Source organism: Homo sapiens, chromosome 4 (genome assembly GCF_000001405.40).
Source record: "Homo sapiens chromosome 4, GRCh38.p14 Primary Assembly".
Taxonomy (NCBI): Eukaryota; Metazoa; Chordata; class Mammalia; order Primates; family Hominidae; genus Homo; species Homo sapiens.
The window spans coordinates 187502076-187520246 of record NC_000004.12 but is presented as its reverse complement, the minus strand read 5'-3'; the positions used below and the strand labels follow the sequence as shown (position 1 = coordinate 187520246).

At 39.2% G+C, this 18171-nt stretch overlaps 1 long non-coding RNA gene across 1 annotated transcript in view; it reads left to right on the top strand.

The window, feature by feature from the left end:
* Positions 1-14633: 14633 nt before the first annotated feature.
* Positions 14634-18171, top strand: part of LOC339975 (uncharacterized) — a 201531-nt gene continuing 197993 nt past the window's right edge. Inside the window, exon 1 of the long non-coding RNA NR_038931.1 lies at positions 14634-14955. This is a non-coding gene — a long non-coding RNA (uncharacterized LOC339975). The remainder of the gene's footprint in view (positions 14956-18171) is intronic.

Sequence of the window (18171 nt, the reverse complement as noted above, 5' to 3'; positions counted from 1 at the left end):
TCAAACAACACATTACTGTTAAGAGTTAGGTGTTTAAAAAGCAGACTGTAATTTTCCATATCAAGAGCCTATGTCACTCTGCTCCTATATATCTGGAGATAGGCCTACTAGTAGGCAGTCAACAGATACTCACCCTGACCAACTTAAGCAAATAATAATAAAGTGAAAGCATTGGCGAGCTTACAGAAACAAAGTGAAGCCTGGGAATTCAGGCTCTAAAGCAGGACAAGAACCAAAGGAGTTGCAAACTCAGCCAAGATCAAGCCATTGGAAAATTGTGGTTACAATGGTTCCCATAGGATGCTTGATATTCTTGCCAATGGATGCAAGACTCCAGGGTTAGTCCTGATATTTGTAAAAATTTAGCTTTCTTGCTGTCTAATTTACATAGACTAATATACACAATTTTAATGTATAGTTTGACAAGTTTTGATAACCATGTGTACCTCCATAACTACCATCATGGTCAAGACACAAAACATTTTCATCCCCCAGAACACTCCCTTTACAATCCCTAGTCTCCCACTCCTGGCAACTACTGATCTAGTTCTATCACTTCAGATTAACTTTGCCTATTTAGAATGACTTATGAATGGAAAGATACACTAACGGAGTCTTTGTGTTTCGCTGTTTTTCACTTAGCATTACATTTTGAGATTGATCAGTGTTGTTGAGCATCTCAGTTGGTTGTTCTTTAGTGCTGAATAGTATTCTATCATATAAATATTGCATAATTTGTTTATGCATCCATCAGTTGATGGACATTTGCACTGGTTTCCACTTTCAGGCCATTAAGAATAATGCTGCTGTCAACATTCTTGTATAGGCCTTTGTATGGACATATGTATATATTTTTTCTCTTAGGTAATATACAGAAGTTGAATTGCTGTACAATGTTGTAAGTATCTGTTTAACTTTACAGGAAACTAACAAGCAGTTTTCAGGTGTTACATCATTTCATCATTTCACTTGCAGTGTATGACAGCTCCAGGTACTCCATATTCTTACCAATATTTCATATTGTCAGTTTTTAAGTTTATCCTTTCCAGTGGGTAAGTAGTATGTCATTTTATTATAATTTGTATTTTACTGGTAAATTAGGATATTGAGGATATTTTCATGTGTTTATTGATCTTTATCTTCTGTTTTGTTGCATCTATTTTAAGCCCTTTGACAATTTTGTAATTGGGTTATTTATTTCACCATTGAGTTGTAAAAATTCTCTTTATATTCTGGACATCAGCACTTTGTCAGATACATATTTACAGATATTTTCCAGTCCAGCTGGATTTTTCATTTTCTTCATAGTATTTTTAAGAGCAGAATTAATTTAAAGTCTATTTCATCATTTTAAAAGTGTTTCATGCTTTTTAAGTATTCTCTAAGAAATCTTTACCTATATCAAGGTCAAAGACGTTTTTCCTCTGTGTTTCCTTTCTAAAGCTTTCTTGTTTTGGCATTTACATTGAATTCTATGATCTATTTGAAATTAATTACTGTGTTAGTGTGAGGGAGCATGCTACCCTATTCAGGGTTCATTTTTGTTCGTAATCATACAGATGTCTAACTATTCTATCACTATTTGTTGAAAATAGACCATTTCCCCCTTATTAAATTACTTTGGTGCTTTTATAAAAAAATCAATTGCCCATATGTGTGGGCACACTTTGGACTCTGGTGTATTTAATTGATCCTATGCAACATTAAGTATTTTGTTTACTGCAGCCCTACAATAAATTTTGAAGTCAAGTAGGTTAAATCTTCCAACTTTGTAGTTACTTCTTTTTTTTCAGAATTGCTGAATTTTCTAGGTCATTTGATTTCATACAACATTTAGAAGCAATTTGCCAATTTTTAAAAAGTCAGTTGGAATTTTGATTCGAATTGCATTGAGTGTATAGATTTTTGGAGAACAGACATCACGTCAGTATTGAATCTCCTCGGTCCGTTGCCCTGCAGATAGCAGCCCCTTCAGCAGCCTCAGATTCTGATCTCCACTTCTCATCCCAATGAGACCATAGTTCTCTGCCTGGACTTCAACTCCTTGTGTTTTGGTTAGGAAATCATTCCAGGCTGAGAGTGGGGCAGCCACGCATCTCATCTCCTAGAGCCCCGTTCTCTCAGAAATCGCATAAAGCATGTGATCCTATTGTCCAATGCCAGAAAACCATTTATCCATATATGCTTTTAGAGTTTAGTTTTAGAGTTGCTTGTAGAGAGTTACTCCAGCATGGTTGGACGTGGAAATGCACTTCCTGGATCTTGGGTCATGCTTCCCTTTTTCTCAGGAGATTTTCAAAGCTTATTGCCATTACTAATACTGTATTAACTGGTCTTTCATCTTTGGACTTCAGTTTCTGCATCTTAAAAATGTGGAAAATAGAAGTCTCTATTACATAAAGTTGTGGTAAGAATTAAATGAGACCATTTAGAACATAGTCTGCAACATAATCAGAAGTACATACGTATTAGCTATCTTATATTTAAATCCCCATGTTAATATTCAAAAGTCTGAAGTAGAAACCTGCACTGCCAGAGCCTAGTTGATGTCAGTTCTGCTGATTCCCTTGATGCCAAGAAGAAGGAATATCTAGTTCTTTTAACCCCATAGAGATTCTTTGAAAACGGGAAGGGTTTGAGACAGTTACCAGAAAACATAAATGTTTTTTAGTACAATGATGAAGGGGTTTGCAAATAGAATCACGGAAAGGTGAAAGCAATTAAGCTCCCTTTGAAGACTTCTATTCAGCATTGTTTGTCACTGCATCATAAGAAAATCATAAAACATATACCCTATTTAGTAAATGTAAAATAAACAAATGCTCAAAGCCATTTTGCCACAATCAACCAACCTAATTTTTATATGCTTCTCAAATTCCTTTATGTATCACCTCTGAAAAGAATAAAAATATATAAAGTATATTTCTATATATTTTTATTCTTTTCATATATATATGTGTGTATATATATATATATATATGAAAAGTATTAAAACAATACCGAAAGAATTGTGTGGATTCAGAAATGTCATGCCATGTTATTGCTCTATTTTTTGTTTCTGCTCCAATTATGCATAGGTGTCTGAGGGCAAGGGTTGAATGAGGAGAAAAAGAAAGAAACAAGAAGATAATGAACTTAGCTTTAAAGATGTTGGACCCTTTGATTGTAAGTATTATAGATACATTTACCATTCTTTCTCAACTTAAGGTAGGCAACTTGTACTGAGTAATCTCAGCAATGGAGTTTTCCCCAGATGAGTTTACAGGGCTGGCAGCAAAACCCAGGATGAATCTCATCAAATAGCCTCTCACTGGTAGATATTTGCCAAATGGGATTGCCCAAGATCCCTTCCTCTTACATCCTGTTAATTAAGCCCCAGTTGCATGATACCCCTTGTCCATGAAACACCTGTACTTCATGGAAACTGACCGCTGCCCCAACCCTCGCCTCCACCCCTGGAAACGTAAAACAGTTTTGGCCAATGCAAATTGTAGCGACATTTTCTGTGGACTTCCCCAATAGAAGTTGGATTGTTTTTCCAAGAAGCGTACTGGAAGAAACAACCTTTCTTCCTACTGAGTGTGATTAGAAGCATGGCTCTCCTGCTAACGACTGGCCTCCGTCTTGTGACCAGAAACAGAGCTTTAGATGAAAGCTAAAGCCAGTTTTGGATTGAAGCAAAATACTGTAGAAGACAGAGATGGAAGAAATCTGTCTTCAGTAATATTGCGCCACTTGATCAAGGCTTTGCAGACATCTTCCAAGCCAGTGATATGTCTTCATTATTTAAGACAGTTTGAGTTTTATTTATCATTATATGCAACAGATTCCTGAACAATGCACTCATGTGGAATGACAGCTTCTATTCACTTGCTATCTGAAAACATTTCTTAACACATAATTCCCATTTCCTTTTTCCCATTATTTTGAAGAAAAAAGAACTATAATTTCAAATCATAGCTCATTGTCTATTCAAGTTCAAGATCAACCATTTTCTCACCAGATACTGTAATCTCAGTTCTTTCAAAGAGATCTCACATGTCTGTTACTAAATTTTAATTATTTACCTTGTTTTTCATATTTTTATATCAAAAAATTCAATAATTGAATATTTTTTGTTAACACTGGTCATTTCTTGTCTCCCCATCTCATTATTCATGGAACTCCCATCTCATACATTTAGCAATGTTTTAGTATAAAATATTGAATACCTAAGAAGGAACCAGATAGATTACTAAAGGTACCATTTATCTTAAAAGAATACAGGACTTAAGGACCAGTGAAAATAAATTTATATAATGGAGGAGATTAATATTAGGAAATGAGAATGTAAGAGCCTCTGTTAAATAGAAAATAAAAGGAATCATTTTATAGCTATTGCTGTCTACATTAGAGGTAGTATGGCTATTCATGAAATAAAATATATTCATTTACAAATCAATTCTATTTTCCCAACCCCCCTGCAATCACTTCTTATTAGTTTCTCAATATCTAAAATTTGAGTGTATTATTGGAATATAAAATTTAATTTGTGTATTTTTGTTAGAAATATTTCATGAAAAGTTTTGATGGAAGAATGGAACTGAAGATTTTGGTCAAAGACAAAGGGAAAAACTGAGAAATTCACAGGAAACAACTACTAGTAGTGACTTTCCTAATGCAGTGGTCTGTGGGTTCACTGGGGTCCATGAGAGTCTTCCAAATTCTGGGAACTGATCACTTATTAATGTCATAATAGCTTATCCATACGTCTCTATTGCGAATACATAATTTGTGATATTTGGTAAAAAAGTTTAAGTTATTATACTTCATTGAAGGTAATTTTTTTTATCAAAGCTATCTCCATTATTCACATAATTCAGATTTTTTCTTTTCTTGTTGGAATCAGGGATAGGTAGAAAATGGTCTGCAATTTGATAGCTCCAATAAAATACAACACGAGTGAAAAAAACGTGAAGGTCTTCTGCTGTAGAGGCAGCTAATGCCTGCCGAAGTAAACAGTAAGCTGGAAAGAAACCAGGGTTGAGGCTGCAGCATGCTGTGTGTCTATGTGTTTGCACATGTGGATTTTGTGTAACAGGCCAGAGAAAGAGAGCATTGTATAAATGCATAAGAAAGGTTGAAATACCTGAGGAACTAAAAGAAAATGTTTGCTTTTTATGTGTCTATATTTTATAACTTTATCTCATTATTAAAGATTCATGGGAAAATATTAAATGGTGGAATGTATTTGCAAAATTTTAAGCTATACTTTATGGCATTAGACATTTGTGTGATGATAACAAAGAGCTCTTTATTATAGTTGGAAAAAAAGCTGAAACTTAATGGAAATATGCACAGAGTACTTTTCCAATCATATGGATGGATTTGTGTTAAACAAACAGTTTCTCACTGCTTGGTCCCTAAGCACTACATTGTATGCATGTTAGAGCAGATGGTCAAAATGGAAGAAGGCTCTAGAAACAGGTGGCCCAAAGAACCAACAGAATTGCCTTGATGAGTTGAAATACATGAACTACATGGGCATCTCTTCGTCTGCAGTGCTCTTTTGGATGCAGCTTCAGAGGAATGTTTGTAAATGTAATAAGACATTCCCTAGCCAAGTTCTAGACCAGCCTGACCAACATGGTGAAACCCCGTCTCCACTAAAAATACAAAAATTAGCCAGACATGGTGGCATGCGCCTGTAATCACAGCTACTCAGGAGGCTGAGGCAGGAAAATCGCTTAAACCCAGGAGGCGGTTTGTTGTAGTGAGCTGAGATTGCACCATTGCACTCCAGCCTGGGCGACAGAGCGAGACTCTGTCTCAAAAAAAAAAAAAAAAAAAAAAAGACATTCCCTAGCCAAAAAAAATCTCTTCCAGAAAGGTGTTGTTCTTGTCCAATATGGGATAGTGGGTTCCCTCGTCGTTCTCGCTTTCTTCAGTTTCTATATTTTGCAATTAAAATAAAAAGATCAGCCACTACAGATAGGAATTTATTTTAATAATAATAACCAACATTAGTATAAAATCTCATAATGCATCATAGGCTCACAGATAATAAAAAGAACAGTACTTTTTCAATCAAGTTAAAATATTTCTTAATTAAAATATGCTTATGATAGAATGCCCTTTTCTGTCCATGTATATGCACCCAATCATAGTTGATCTTATATTTATTGCCAGTCGTAGAACTTTGTGCCTACTTGTAAGGAGTTCTTAATGCTGATGAGAGTTTGCAAAAGAATGCATCATGTTTGAAAGGGAGAGTAGAATTGACCTCAGGACACAGACTGAAAATTGTTTCACAAAACCAAGCAGGAGCCCAAAAAGTGAGTGACGTGTGGAGCCTGAGTCGTTAAAAAAATGGGAAAAAAGTGAGGTGAGGCCGGGCGCGGTGGCTCACACCTGTAATTCCAGCACTTTGGGAGGCCGAGGCAGGTGGATCACCTGAGGCCAGGAGTTTGAGACTAGCCTAGCCAAGGTGGTGAAACCCTGTCTCTACTAAAAAGTACAAAAATTAGCCGGGTGTGGCGGCACGTGCCTAAAATTGCAGCTACACGGGAGGCTGAGGCAGGAGAATTGCTGGAACCCGGGAGGCGGAAGTTGCAATGAGCCAAGATCGCACCATTGCACTCCAGCCCCGGCCAACAACAGCGAGACTCCGACTCAAAAAAAAAAAAAAAAAACAAAACAAAAATGAGGTGCACATAGGGAAGGGTTTATGACAGTGCCTATTCATAGAAACAAATTAAAATAAATCATTAGGCACCTGTGTGATTATAAAATAATGAGATAAATATCCCTGTGAGGCTTGTGGAGATATCCTCTTACTTCAGAATCACACTACACTCATAAATCTGCTAATATTTGTCATGTGCTGATCCCCATAGCAACAAATTTCCCATTGGGCAAAATCTGAAAATACAAAAGGGCGACATGATGAATTTCTCAAGGGCAAGAACAGTGTCATTCACAATTGAATACTCTGTTCTCAACACAGTGTGTGGCACATAGGGTACATTAATACATATTTAATAAATATATTAATAAAAAGAAATTTAAATATAATTGAAATTATGACATTTAAAATTAATATCCAGACATTATTTCAATCTTTTTTCTGAATTTTATCTAATTAATTCCACAATTGATTTATCTTACTTTGAAGCTACTTATTAAAGATAATAACATTAATTAGTTTTACAGAAAGCATAATTATTTTTAATAATTATGACACTCTATCGTTTCTTCTAACATTGAATATTGTAGCAGAAAGGGCTTGACTTTGCATTTAAATTTCTGGGCTTGAATTTCAGATCCACTATTTACTACGTCATGTTGGGCATGTTATTTAACTTGTCTGAGTCTTGAAACGGGTATAAAATAACCTAAAATTAATATTGTTCAATTGAATGAAATATGTGTGTGTGTGTGTGTGTATATATATATATATATATATATATATATATATATATATATATATATATGTGATATATAAATATAAATTTATTTCTTCCTTCTCTTCTGAATTTTGAGGGGATTGACTGGTAGGCAGGAATTGGCCTCATAATATTCTGAACAGGAATTTGTTCCTATTCAGTTGGAAGTTAGTGTATTTCTCTACGCCTCCTCTGAGGATATGTCAAAAATATGTTCTCCTTTACTCAACTCATCTCCATTCATCAAAATGCTATTACTGTGTTTTTTCTTTTTAGGATTCAAATGCCTATTAATTTACTGAAAATTATGTATCCAGTTAAATAGTCTTTTGAGTCTATATTCCTGTAGAAATGTATTTAAACAGTTTCCTGGAAGTAAAAAGAAAAAGTTTTTAAAACTAAATTTTATAATTTCTCCTTTTCATTCCCTATTTGCCTTTCAATGCGCAGCTCATTGTCACAGTCTTCACCTCCCCCTTCAAAACTTCATTGTTTGCTGCACTCTTCGAGTTCCTGTTCAGCTTGCATTCTACCATATGTAGTAATAATTTTGTTTAATTAACAAATATTGATGAAAGGTCAGTAATGAGTCAGAATAAAAATATACATACATTTGGCAAAGAAGACACAAATATAACTATCATACAATGAGATATTTACAATGAATATGGATTTATTCTAGCTGCATTTTTATAATTTAAACATCTTTACTACATTTACAGAACACTGGGAAAAGTCTTTGCTATATACAATCTTTCCATTATATTTGGTAATGAGAAAACCCCAGAAACTAAATTTAAATGCTTTAAACAATACTACTTAGAAGGAATCTAACATTTTAATGATTAACTTTCTTCTGAATCAGATTTGTGTGCAGTCTAGTAGTTATACAGAATTGAAATCAAAATTTTCACAGATAGTCTTAGAACCAAATCTTGCCAAGGTCAAAACTAAAATGCTCAACAGTACATCAGCTGATTATAAACCATGTGTTACTCTTTTCAGATGTCATTAATTAGTCTGTTACTCATCCTCTCTGTTCATATAGAATAAGTTTTCCAGTTGAAAATGAAACCAGTATCATTTCCCATGGATTGTATTATAGCAGAGTCTCTCTGATTAGACCTAAGAACTTTGGGAAACACTCAAAATTCTATAAATGACTTAGATGTCAACCTCCTCCCCATTTCAGTCTGGATCTCAATGAAGAGAAATGTAATATATTGAATGTACATTGTAAAGTAGGTCTTCTTTTGTATTATCACTTATTTATACCTGTGCTTTTAGTGAACATGAAATATGTCTCTCTCCTGTGCATTACTCTCAATTTCATAATGAACATATAGTAATTATTAGTGGATACTGACTGAAGAATCCAGTAGTTCCTCGGTCATACCCATCTGATATGTGTTTTGTGGAAGGATAAGCACAATACTGATTTTCAGGAGACTTTTTATTTTATTTCATTTTATCCTGTCATATTTTGTTATGTATGAATTGCTTTAATGCACTAGCAATGAGACCGGGTACAGTTTGTGAAATTTCTACTGCAGTGGTTACCCTATTACAGTTGGCTAAGACAGCAAGCAAAGCTTTGGCATTGTGAAACAGTGACAGAAGTATTTAACAAGTGGAAACTAACTACGGCATAGGGATTCTTCAACTGCCTTGCAAAGTGGTGCACGGGTGGAATCTTACCAGCATTCTCATCTGCCATAAGAAATTAAACCTGTCTCTTCCTGCGGTAACTGGAAGAGGAATGATCTAAACTTGAACACCTAATTGCATCTCTCCCAGGAAGGGTCTCAGCCAGAAACTCAGGTAAGAAAATTCCACACTAGGCTCTCATTTTGTCATCGGTGATGCATTCCATTTTCAGTGGTGAATCTGGGACAGGGGGTAGGATCCTGAGAGGAGACAGCGGGCTTCCTTCTGTGCCTCCGAAGGGCTTTTCAGATGTTTGCTTTTGCCATTTAGATTGAATGGCTAAACACCTATCATACCTACATGTTCTAAAGTAAAATACAAACTGGATTGTGCTGCTCTCGATAACTTAAATTATCTGCTTGATTGCACCCATCTATTAGTGCGGATAATAGAGAATTGACTGAACATCTTTTCCATGCAGGAACAATCGAATGAGACTCTTCCTCTACAAGAGTGACTATTGCAGTTACTGAATGTGTTCAAAACCCACCCCGAATCCTTACTGAAAGTAGGTAGAAAATAAATAATAACTCCTTGAGGTATTTAATGGCTGATGAAAGGGAAATTAAATACTATAATCATTTGAAATTAAAATTATTTTACAAAACAATCCATGGGATACCCAAACTCTAAAAGCCACAGGCTTGCATTATTAAGCAAACATATGGCAGAGTTTTCTAAACAACTGTGGTCCAGCCAACACACAAGACCTCCCCTCCTAAATATTTATGAAACATTTTTGAAGGGGGCAAGATAGATCTAGTCTAACACACACATACACACAAACACACACGTGCACACACATTCTTAAAAGATACTCTTCCCTAGAAAACACCCATAACAGCATATTCTCGAAAGGCCATCTTTTTAGATGGAGCTGTAAACCGAGCTTCCATAAACCAGTAAGGGCAGAGCAATCCCATACTTCTTAAGGGCATTTTAGCTATGTGATGAGAAAAAGACTATGCTCTATCAACACACATAGTTTTACTTGAAGACTCCCTTCCAAGAAAAAAAAAGAAAAAAGAGTAGAATAAAATAAAAAAAAAATTATAGCTTCAGTTTAGCACTCCTTCTCTTTCCCTGTGTGTGTGTGTGTGTGTGTGTGTGTGTTTCAACAATCTAAGATTGTATCTAGCAGCTATATTAAAACTACTGCAGGCCTGGCGCAGTGGCTCACACCTGTAATCCCAGCACTTTGGAAAGCCGAGGCGGGCGGATCACAAGGTCAGGAGATCGAGACCATCCTGGCTAATACGGTGAAACCCTGTCTCTACTAAAAATACAAAAAGTTAGCTGGGCGTGGTGGTATGTGCCTGTAATACCAGCTATTTGGGAGGCTGAGGCAGGAGAATCGCTTGAACCCGGGAGGCAGAGGTTGCAGTGAGCCGAGATCGCACCCCTGCACTCAAGCCTGGGTGACAGAGCAAGACTCCATCACACACACACACATAAACCAACAAAATACTACTGCAAAGACTAACACATAGAGGTGGTATAAGTATTTTTTCCACATCTCTAGATTAATATTTAAAAGACAACCTAACTATGTGTTAAAGATGTTGTGGGAAAAAAAATTCTCTAAGAGCTTTATTTCCAGAATCTGACAGCAGTAAGAGTGCTTGTAGATCACTGGCCTTAGTCTTTGTTTTACAGGTGGAAAGATTATGGCTCTTAGAGAACAATTTGAGTTGTCTAATATCACATAGCGAGATATGTCAAAGAGGGACCCAGCCTAGAACACAGGTTGCAGCTCTGAGAACAAAATGATTTGTAGGAGAATATAAAATATTGGGAAGACAAATTACTTGATCAAAAACCTACTTATTTTGTGGAATTGTTTAACATGTTTGTTGACAATGAATTGTCTTGCTGTCTTGAGTCTCGTAATCAATTTTTGCTTATATAAATTTGTTTTATATAGCTTGACGTTCTGCTGTATTGTTGGTTTGTTAAGCTCATATGTGATGAGGAATGTTACGCCCACCGATTCAATAAACCTCAAAATATACTGTGCAGAATGTTGTCAGTACAAGTGCCCTGGAATGTGATATCCCGAAGGTCAGGGCAGCATTTTCTTCGTAAGTGTATCCTAGCCGCTAGCCATATTGGCTATTTAAATTTAGATTAATTAAAATTAAGTAGTTAAAATTCATTTTCTCAGTTGCACTAGCCGCATTTAAAGTGACAAACAGCTTCAAATGTCTCAATAGCTCAAGTGTGGCTACTGCCAACTGTAGGGATAGTGCAGGTATGAAATGCCACTGACCTCATAGAAAGTTCTATGAGACAGTGCTGGTGCGGAGTAATAAAAATAGAAACTATTTTAGGAAGATAGCGGTGGAAGAGACAGAGGAAGAAAGGTGATGGATAGACGATAGATTAGATAGGTAGATAGATGATAGATATGATACGATATGATAGAAAAAGGAAGGAAGGAAAGGAGGAAGGGAGGGAGAAAGGCAGGAATGAAAGATGAGAGGAAGGGAGGAAGAAAGAGTTTTTTTAAAAAAGTAGAGGAAGGGAGAGAACTACCTGATATTCTGAGTATTTTTAGACGTGTTCTGCTGCTGGGAAACTGTAGAATTTGACTCCACTGCACTTTTCTCAGCCTTATAAACTGTGAGTCTAACCCACAGTGCAGAAGAACCATGACTTATTACAGGAACCACCTCGCCTCAATTAAAACAGCATACCCACCATGAGGCCCGTGCTTTGAAGCAGAGTAAAAAATAGTGGCTTTCAAATTCTTCAGGCCAAAAGGAGACAAAAACAACACTAATAATAATTCAGAATGTGGTGCTTCTGACATTTATATTAGTGGTATAGGTATACAAAAATGAATAAAAATGACTGTATACCTGTGGTTTAAATCCATATGTATAACTTTTCCTTGAAGATTGTATGCTGTTTTCACCGTTCTCATCTTTGTCATTTCCTACTTGTTTTATGATTGTATTATTATATTATACCTAGAATTAATGTTAATACCTTACAAGCCATTTACTAGAGCCAATATGCATCTGTTATTAGGCATTAAACAGCATCAATGAGGATTATGATCCTTGTCTAACGGCTGCATGCAGGAATTTTAAAAAATTCTTAGAAATATATAAAATGAAATGTCAAAAGTGAACCTATCAGGTTACATAGTACTTTCCTAGAGCTGAATGTTTCTCCAAAGAGTTATCTCAGTGGCTTCTCATCATCCCCATTGGAAATGCCACGTGGAATGTGAAATGGCACGGCAGCCTGCTCCCTGGGAAAGCTTCTGGATCTAGAACTGAAGCTTGGCGTCCTCACAGATTCCCATGGTGGCGGAGTGGGGCTTTCCTGCCATGAAAGATCGTGCACTACCTGGAGCCCTAACACGCAAAACGTTTCATTAAATATTCTACAAAATCTACATTGACTTTTCACTTTGATCTTATAAACTTTTGTGATTCAGAGCATAAACCATTCGAATGGGAAGGCATCTCGTCTTTTCTTCTTCCTGAAGGCATACTCACCAGAAAACATAGCCGAACGTCGCTGTTTCGATATGTCAGTATATTGCAGTATTTTTAAAAGTCAACAATATGACCCCATCATACCAATATTTGTTGAATACCTTGCAGCCTCAAGATCCATTCGCCTTCATAGCTAAGGATGCTCTTAGTCCAAGGAAAGCTTCCAACTGATCTCCTTCTGTAAATAGGCAAAATGTATTTTAGTTTCCACCACACATGTTCTTTTCTGTAGGGCTTGTATGTTGGAAATTTTATCCAATTATTCAATTAACACTATACCAACAATCTGCTAATTCTGGAGATGTGGCAGTGAATAAAAAAGTTATAGTTTCTGATTTTGTGGAGCTTGGACTTTAATGATGGACAAAACAACACATTCTTAAATATATATTTCATCAAAATTATAGTGGGTGAATTATTTATATGTGCATTTACATGTGTATGTATACATAAATGGGCGGTTACTGGCTGCACTGAGAATGTACACGTGGCGCGAACGAGGCTGGGCGGTCAGAGAAGGCCTCCCAAGGAGGTGGCTTTGAAGCTGAGTGGTGCTTCCACGTGAAAAGGCTGGAAAGGGCATTCCAAGAAAAGGCTGAGGCCAGCGGGAAAGAGGTTCCAGTGCGCTCTGGGAACGGAAAGCGCACCTGCCTGAAACGAAAATGAGTGTGCTGAAATAGGACGCTAGAAAGGGAGGCAGAGGCTGGCAAAAGCGACCGAGGAGGAGCTCAAAGGAGCGAGCGGGGAAGGCCGCTGTGGAGCCTGGAGGAAGCACTTCGGAAGCGCTTCTGAGCGGGTAAGGCCGCTGGGAGCATGAACTGCTGAGCAGGTGTGTCCAGAATTCGTGGGTTCTTGGTCTCACTGACTTCAAGAATGAAGAGGGACCGCGGACCCTCGCGGTGAGTGTTACAGCTCTTAAGGTGGCGCGTCTGGAGTTTGTTCCTTCTGATGTTCGGATGTGTTCAGAGTTTCTTCCTTCTGGTGGGTTCGTGGTCTCGCTGGCTCAGGAGTGAAGCTGCAGACCTTCGCGGTGAGTGTTACAGCTCATAAAAGCAGGGTGGACTCAAAGAGTGAGCAGCAGCAAGATTTATTGCAAAGAATGAAAGAACAAAGCTTCCACACTGTGGAAGGGGACCCCAGCGGGTTGCCACTGCTGGCTCCGCAGCCTGCTTTTATTCTCTTATCTGGCCCCACCCACATCCTGCTGATTGGTAGAGCCGAATGGTCTGTTTTGACGGCGCTGATTGGTGCGTTTACAATCCCTGCGCTAGATACAAAGGTTCTCCACGTCCCCACCAGATTAGCTAGATAGAGTCTCCACACAAAGGTTCTCCAAGGCCCCACCAGAGTAGCTAGATACAGAGTGTTGATTGGTGCATTCACAAACCCTGAGCTAGACACAGGGTGATGACTGGTGTGTTTACAAACCTTGCGGTAGATACAGAGTATCAATTGGCGTATTTACAATCACTGAGCTAGGCATAAAGGTTCTCCAGGTCCCCACCAGACTCAGGAGCCCAGCTGGCTTCACCCAGTGGATCCCGCACAGGGGCTGCAGGTGCAGCTGCCTGCCAGTCCCGCGCCGGGAGCCCGCACTCCTCAGCCCTTGGGTGGTCGATGGCACTGGGCGCCATGGAGCAGGGGGCGGCGCTCATCCGAGAGGCTCGGGCGGCACAGGAGCCCGTGAAGCGGGTGGGAGGCTCAGGCATGGCGGGCTGCAGGTCCCGAGCCCTGCCCGGCGGGAAGGCAGCTAAGGCCCGGCGAGAAATCAAGCGCAGCGCTGGCGGGCTGGCACTGCTGGGGGACCCAGTACACCCTCCGCAGCCGCTGGCCCGGGTGCTAAGCCCCTCATTGCCCGGGGCCGACAGGGCCGGCCGGCTGCTCCGAGTGCAGTGCCCGCCAAGCCCACGCCCACCCGGAACTCCAGCTGGCCCGCAAGCGCCGCGCGCAGCCCCAGTTTCCGCTCCCGCCTCTCCCTCCACACCTCCCTGCAAGCTGAGGGAGCGGGCTCCTCCTTGGCCAGCCCAGAAAGGGGCTCCCACAGTGCAGCGGTGGGCTGAAGGGCTCCTCAAGTGCCCCCAAAGTGGGAGCCCAGGCAGAGGGGGCGCCGAGAGCGAGCGAGGGCTGTGAGGACTGCCAGCACGCTGTCACCTCTCACAAGGAAGGCCGCTGTGGAGCGTGGAGGAAGCGCTCCCGGGCGGGAAGGCCGCTGTGGAGACTGGAGGAAGCGCTTCCGGGCGGGGAAGGCCGTTGCGCAGCCTGGAGGAAGCGCTTCTGGGTGGGGAAGGCCGCTGGGAGCATGAACTTCTGAGCAGGTAAGGCCGCCGTGGAGCGTGGAGGAAGCGCTTCTGGGCGGGGAAGGCCGTTGTGGAGCGTGGAGGAAGCGCTTCTGAGAGGTGCGGGAACGTGAGGACACCAAGGCGTGGTGAGGGAGAGAGGGTGCGCGGCCGGGGGCAGATGCCTCTGGGGCGGAGTGGTTGGCGGTAGTCAGCCTTATTGAAATGGGCTGGGAGGAAAGGGGAAGAGGAAGAGACAAACAGCATAAATAGTGCTTTTGAAAATTTTGGTTTTGAAAAGTAGACATTAGACAACAGTCGCAGGCATCATTTTGTTTTTATTAAGGATGGCAAAAACTAAATTAGATTTACATGCTGATGGAAAAAGCCAAGTAGAGAGAGAAAGAAATGACAGAAAAACGAAATAGGAAAGAGGATTAGCAATACAGGAAAGAGACTACAGGCAGGGTTCAGTTATTTTGAACGGTTTGTTTCTCCTGAATATTGTAACTATTAATTTGGAAAAATATTCTATTCTGTGCTATCTGAAAGAAATCCTCTTCTTAGTTCTCTCTTAATATATCATTTGGAATTAAATTGTTTACTGTGCGTTCTGAAACCATTCACAACATCTTTATTAATGATTGCTGATATTCACTTAGCATTCCCTTCCTGTTAATAAATTGCTGGGCCATATCTTTGCTTATAGAACCAAATAAATTTTGATGTAATTGGCCAGTTTTAAAAGTTAGACATCTCTTCATAGGCAGTGCTTTATCTTGGGACTAAAAGAATTTACGCAGCAGAGTGAATCTCTGGATCTGCCGAATAGGGAGGGAGGACAATGAAGAGCGAAGCGGGGAGGCTCAGGGAAGATGATGGCTCAGTCCAATTTCCAGTGGAGCTGCAGGGTCAGGAGCTGTGCGCTGTAAAGCCAAGGGATCCTCTAGGCTTCTGGGACAGTTAACAGCATGATACTCTGTGAGCCACACAAAAGTCTTAGAAATACCGTCCTAGAGCTCTGGGTGATAATTGAGAGCTTAGCAAATGGATTTCCAGAGCTGTGAAAGTAAAGATGGCATCTGACCTTTTGCATGATCCATGGAGATCTTCTAGAAACATGAGGAAGTCACAGACCTTTCTACTCTGATAGCAGAAGAGTGTTCATCTTCGAATTTGGGAGAAAAAAGAAAAAGAAGGAGAGGTAGAGGAGGAGGAAGAAAGAGATAAAAAAGAACAGAAGAAGAGAGAGGAGGAGAGGGGAAAGAGAGAAGAAAACGAATAATTCTTATGAACAATATTATAAAACGTTATTGAAAAATATTAAGACACAAATATGTAGAAAAATAAAACATATCTTGGATAGAAAACTCTGGAGAACATTCTGGAGGTAAAGGTTGAATTTGGATAGATCCTGTGACCCAGCAATTCTATTCCTGGCTGTTTAGGCCAGAGAAAGCCTGAGACTTAACATATACAAAGAGACACCATCATTGTCATCACCACTGCTATCATTACAGCTAATACTAAGTACTGACTGTATACCTCCATTCTAAATATGCTATATCAATTATCTCATTTATTAGGTTTCACCATATAAAAATGCTAATATGTGACCATTTTTGGACTATGAAAATTATAATTGCATATGCTTCAAGTTAATACTCTTCTCAATAGTCCTATGAAGTACATACTATTTTTATCTCAATTTTAAAATGGGGAAGTGACGCACAGTGGATTAACTAACTTGCCAAGGCTGCTGAGCTCCTACATGGCGCCACCACACATCAGATGCATGCAGTCTGCACTGGAGTCCCCCTTCAAAACTGCTTGCTATGCTGCCTCAATCTGAAAAAAAGGCTCACAGCCACAGACCACAGGAGAGCAAAAGGATGAAAACAACAGCAATGTCCATTAACAGAGGAATTGACTAATACCTTGATGTACATTCCCACAAGAGAATGTGGCAAAATAGCAAAGTCAAGAAACTAGACTTACTCATATTAATCCGCATTAAGTGAGAAAAGAGAGATTCCAGGAAAATATATATAGCTGTGGCCATTTGTACTGCGGTTAGGAACATATAACGCAGTGCTACATACTGTTTAGTGCCAAAGACGTATGTGACACACATGTAAAGGTATCCGTGAGAATGACAAACACCAAAGGAAGATGCTGGCTAATGTGGGTGCAGAAGGAGGCAGTTGGGGAAGAACTAGGAGGAATATCAGCTGTTTCGGTGATGGATGATTTTTAATAAGGTCATGGGTACATGGGTAATTTTTATCTCATTCTTAACACAATTCTGCAGCCAGAAAGAGAAAAAGGAAAATATACCTGTAATAAACAACTTTCAAGGAATGATATGAGGAATAAAGAAATTAATAAGGACACTTGTGGAGTGGGGAAAGCAAGAAAAGGGCAACAGTAAAAATTTAAAAGATGTAAACAGAAATGATTCCTTTTATGTAAAATTAATTTATGTTTGCATATTTTCATAACAGAAACAGATACCAAGATCTTGACAGTGGTTGCCTCAGTGTGATGAAATTTTGAAATGATTTATTTATTTTTTCTTATGTTTTTATGCAGTCTTCAGATGTTTTACGGTGTAGTTATATGTAGTCAGGAAAATACACAGCATTCTAGATAAATGAAAGAGTGAAAGGCAGCAGTCCAAAGGGAAGCTAAGTGTGGACTAGATCTTGAAGTATGGCAAATGCAGGTTTTTCTCCCTTTTAGGGATGATAAATGAGCAGTTAGTATCTCCACCAAGATCATGCGTCAGGTTCAAATTCCAGGTCTGGCTGGTCAATCTAATAAATTATTTAGCAAGAGCCCTGAGAAAGGTGGGGTTGGGAAGCCATCTTCTTCTAAGATCTGCTTCTGTCTTTGGCATGCATGGAAGTCGTTGTTTTAAACTGGACAGTTTTTAACTAGGCAAGTGTGGGAACTGGGAGAAAGGAAGAATTCTCAGTTCTAAGCTGGGAATAGACTTTAGGAGATAAATAACATGGGAGATTGATTATAGGAGGATACATGGGAGGATGGTTCTAAGTGGGGATGGAATTTAGGAGGATAATAGGAGGGTCTCTCCCTCGTGGGAAGAAATCTGTTTCATGCATGCCCTTTGGGCTGAGAGTGAGCCTTGTATTGCCCAGATCTGGCCAAAATATGGCAGTGGTGTTTTTCATGAAGAACAGAGGTGCCCACAGAAGTAGAACTGTGCCATTGTCCAGACGATGCAGTGTGGGA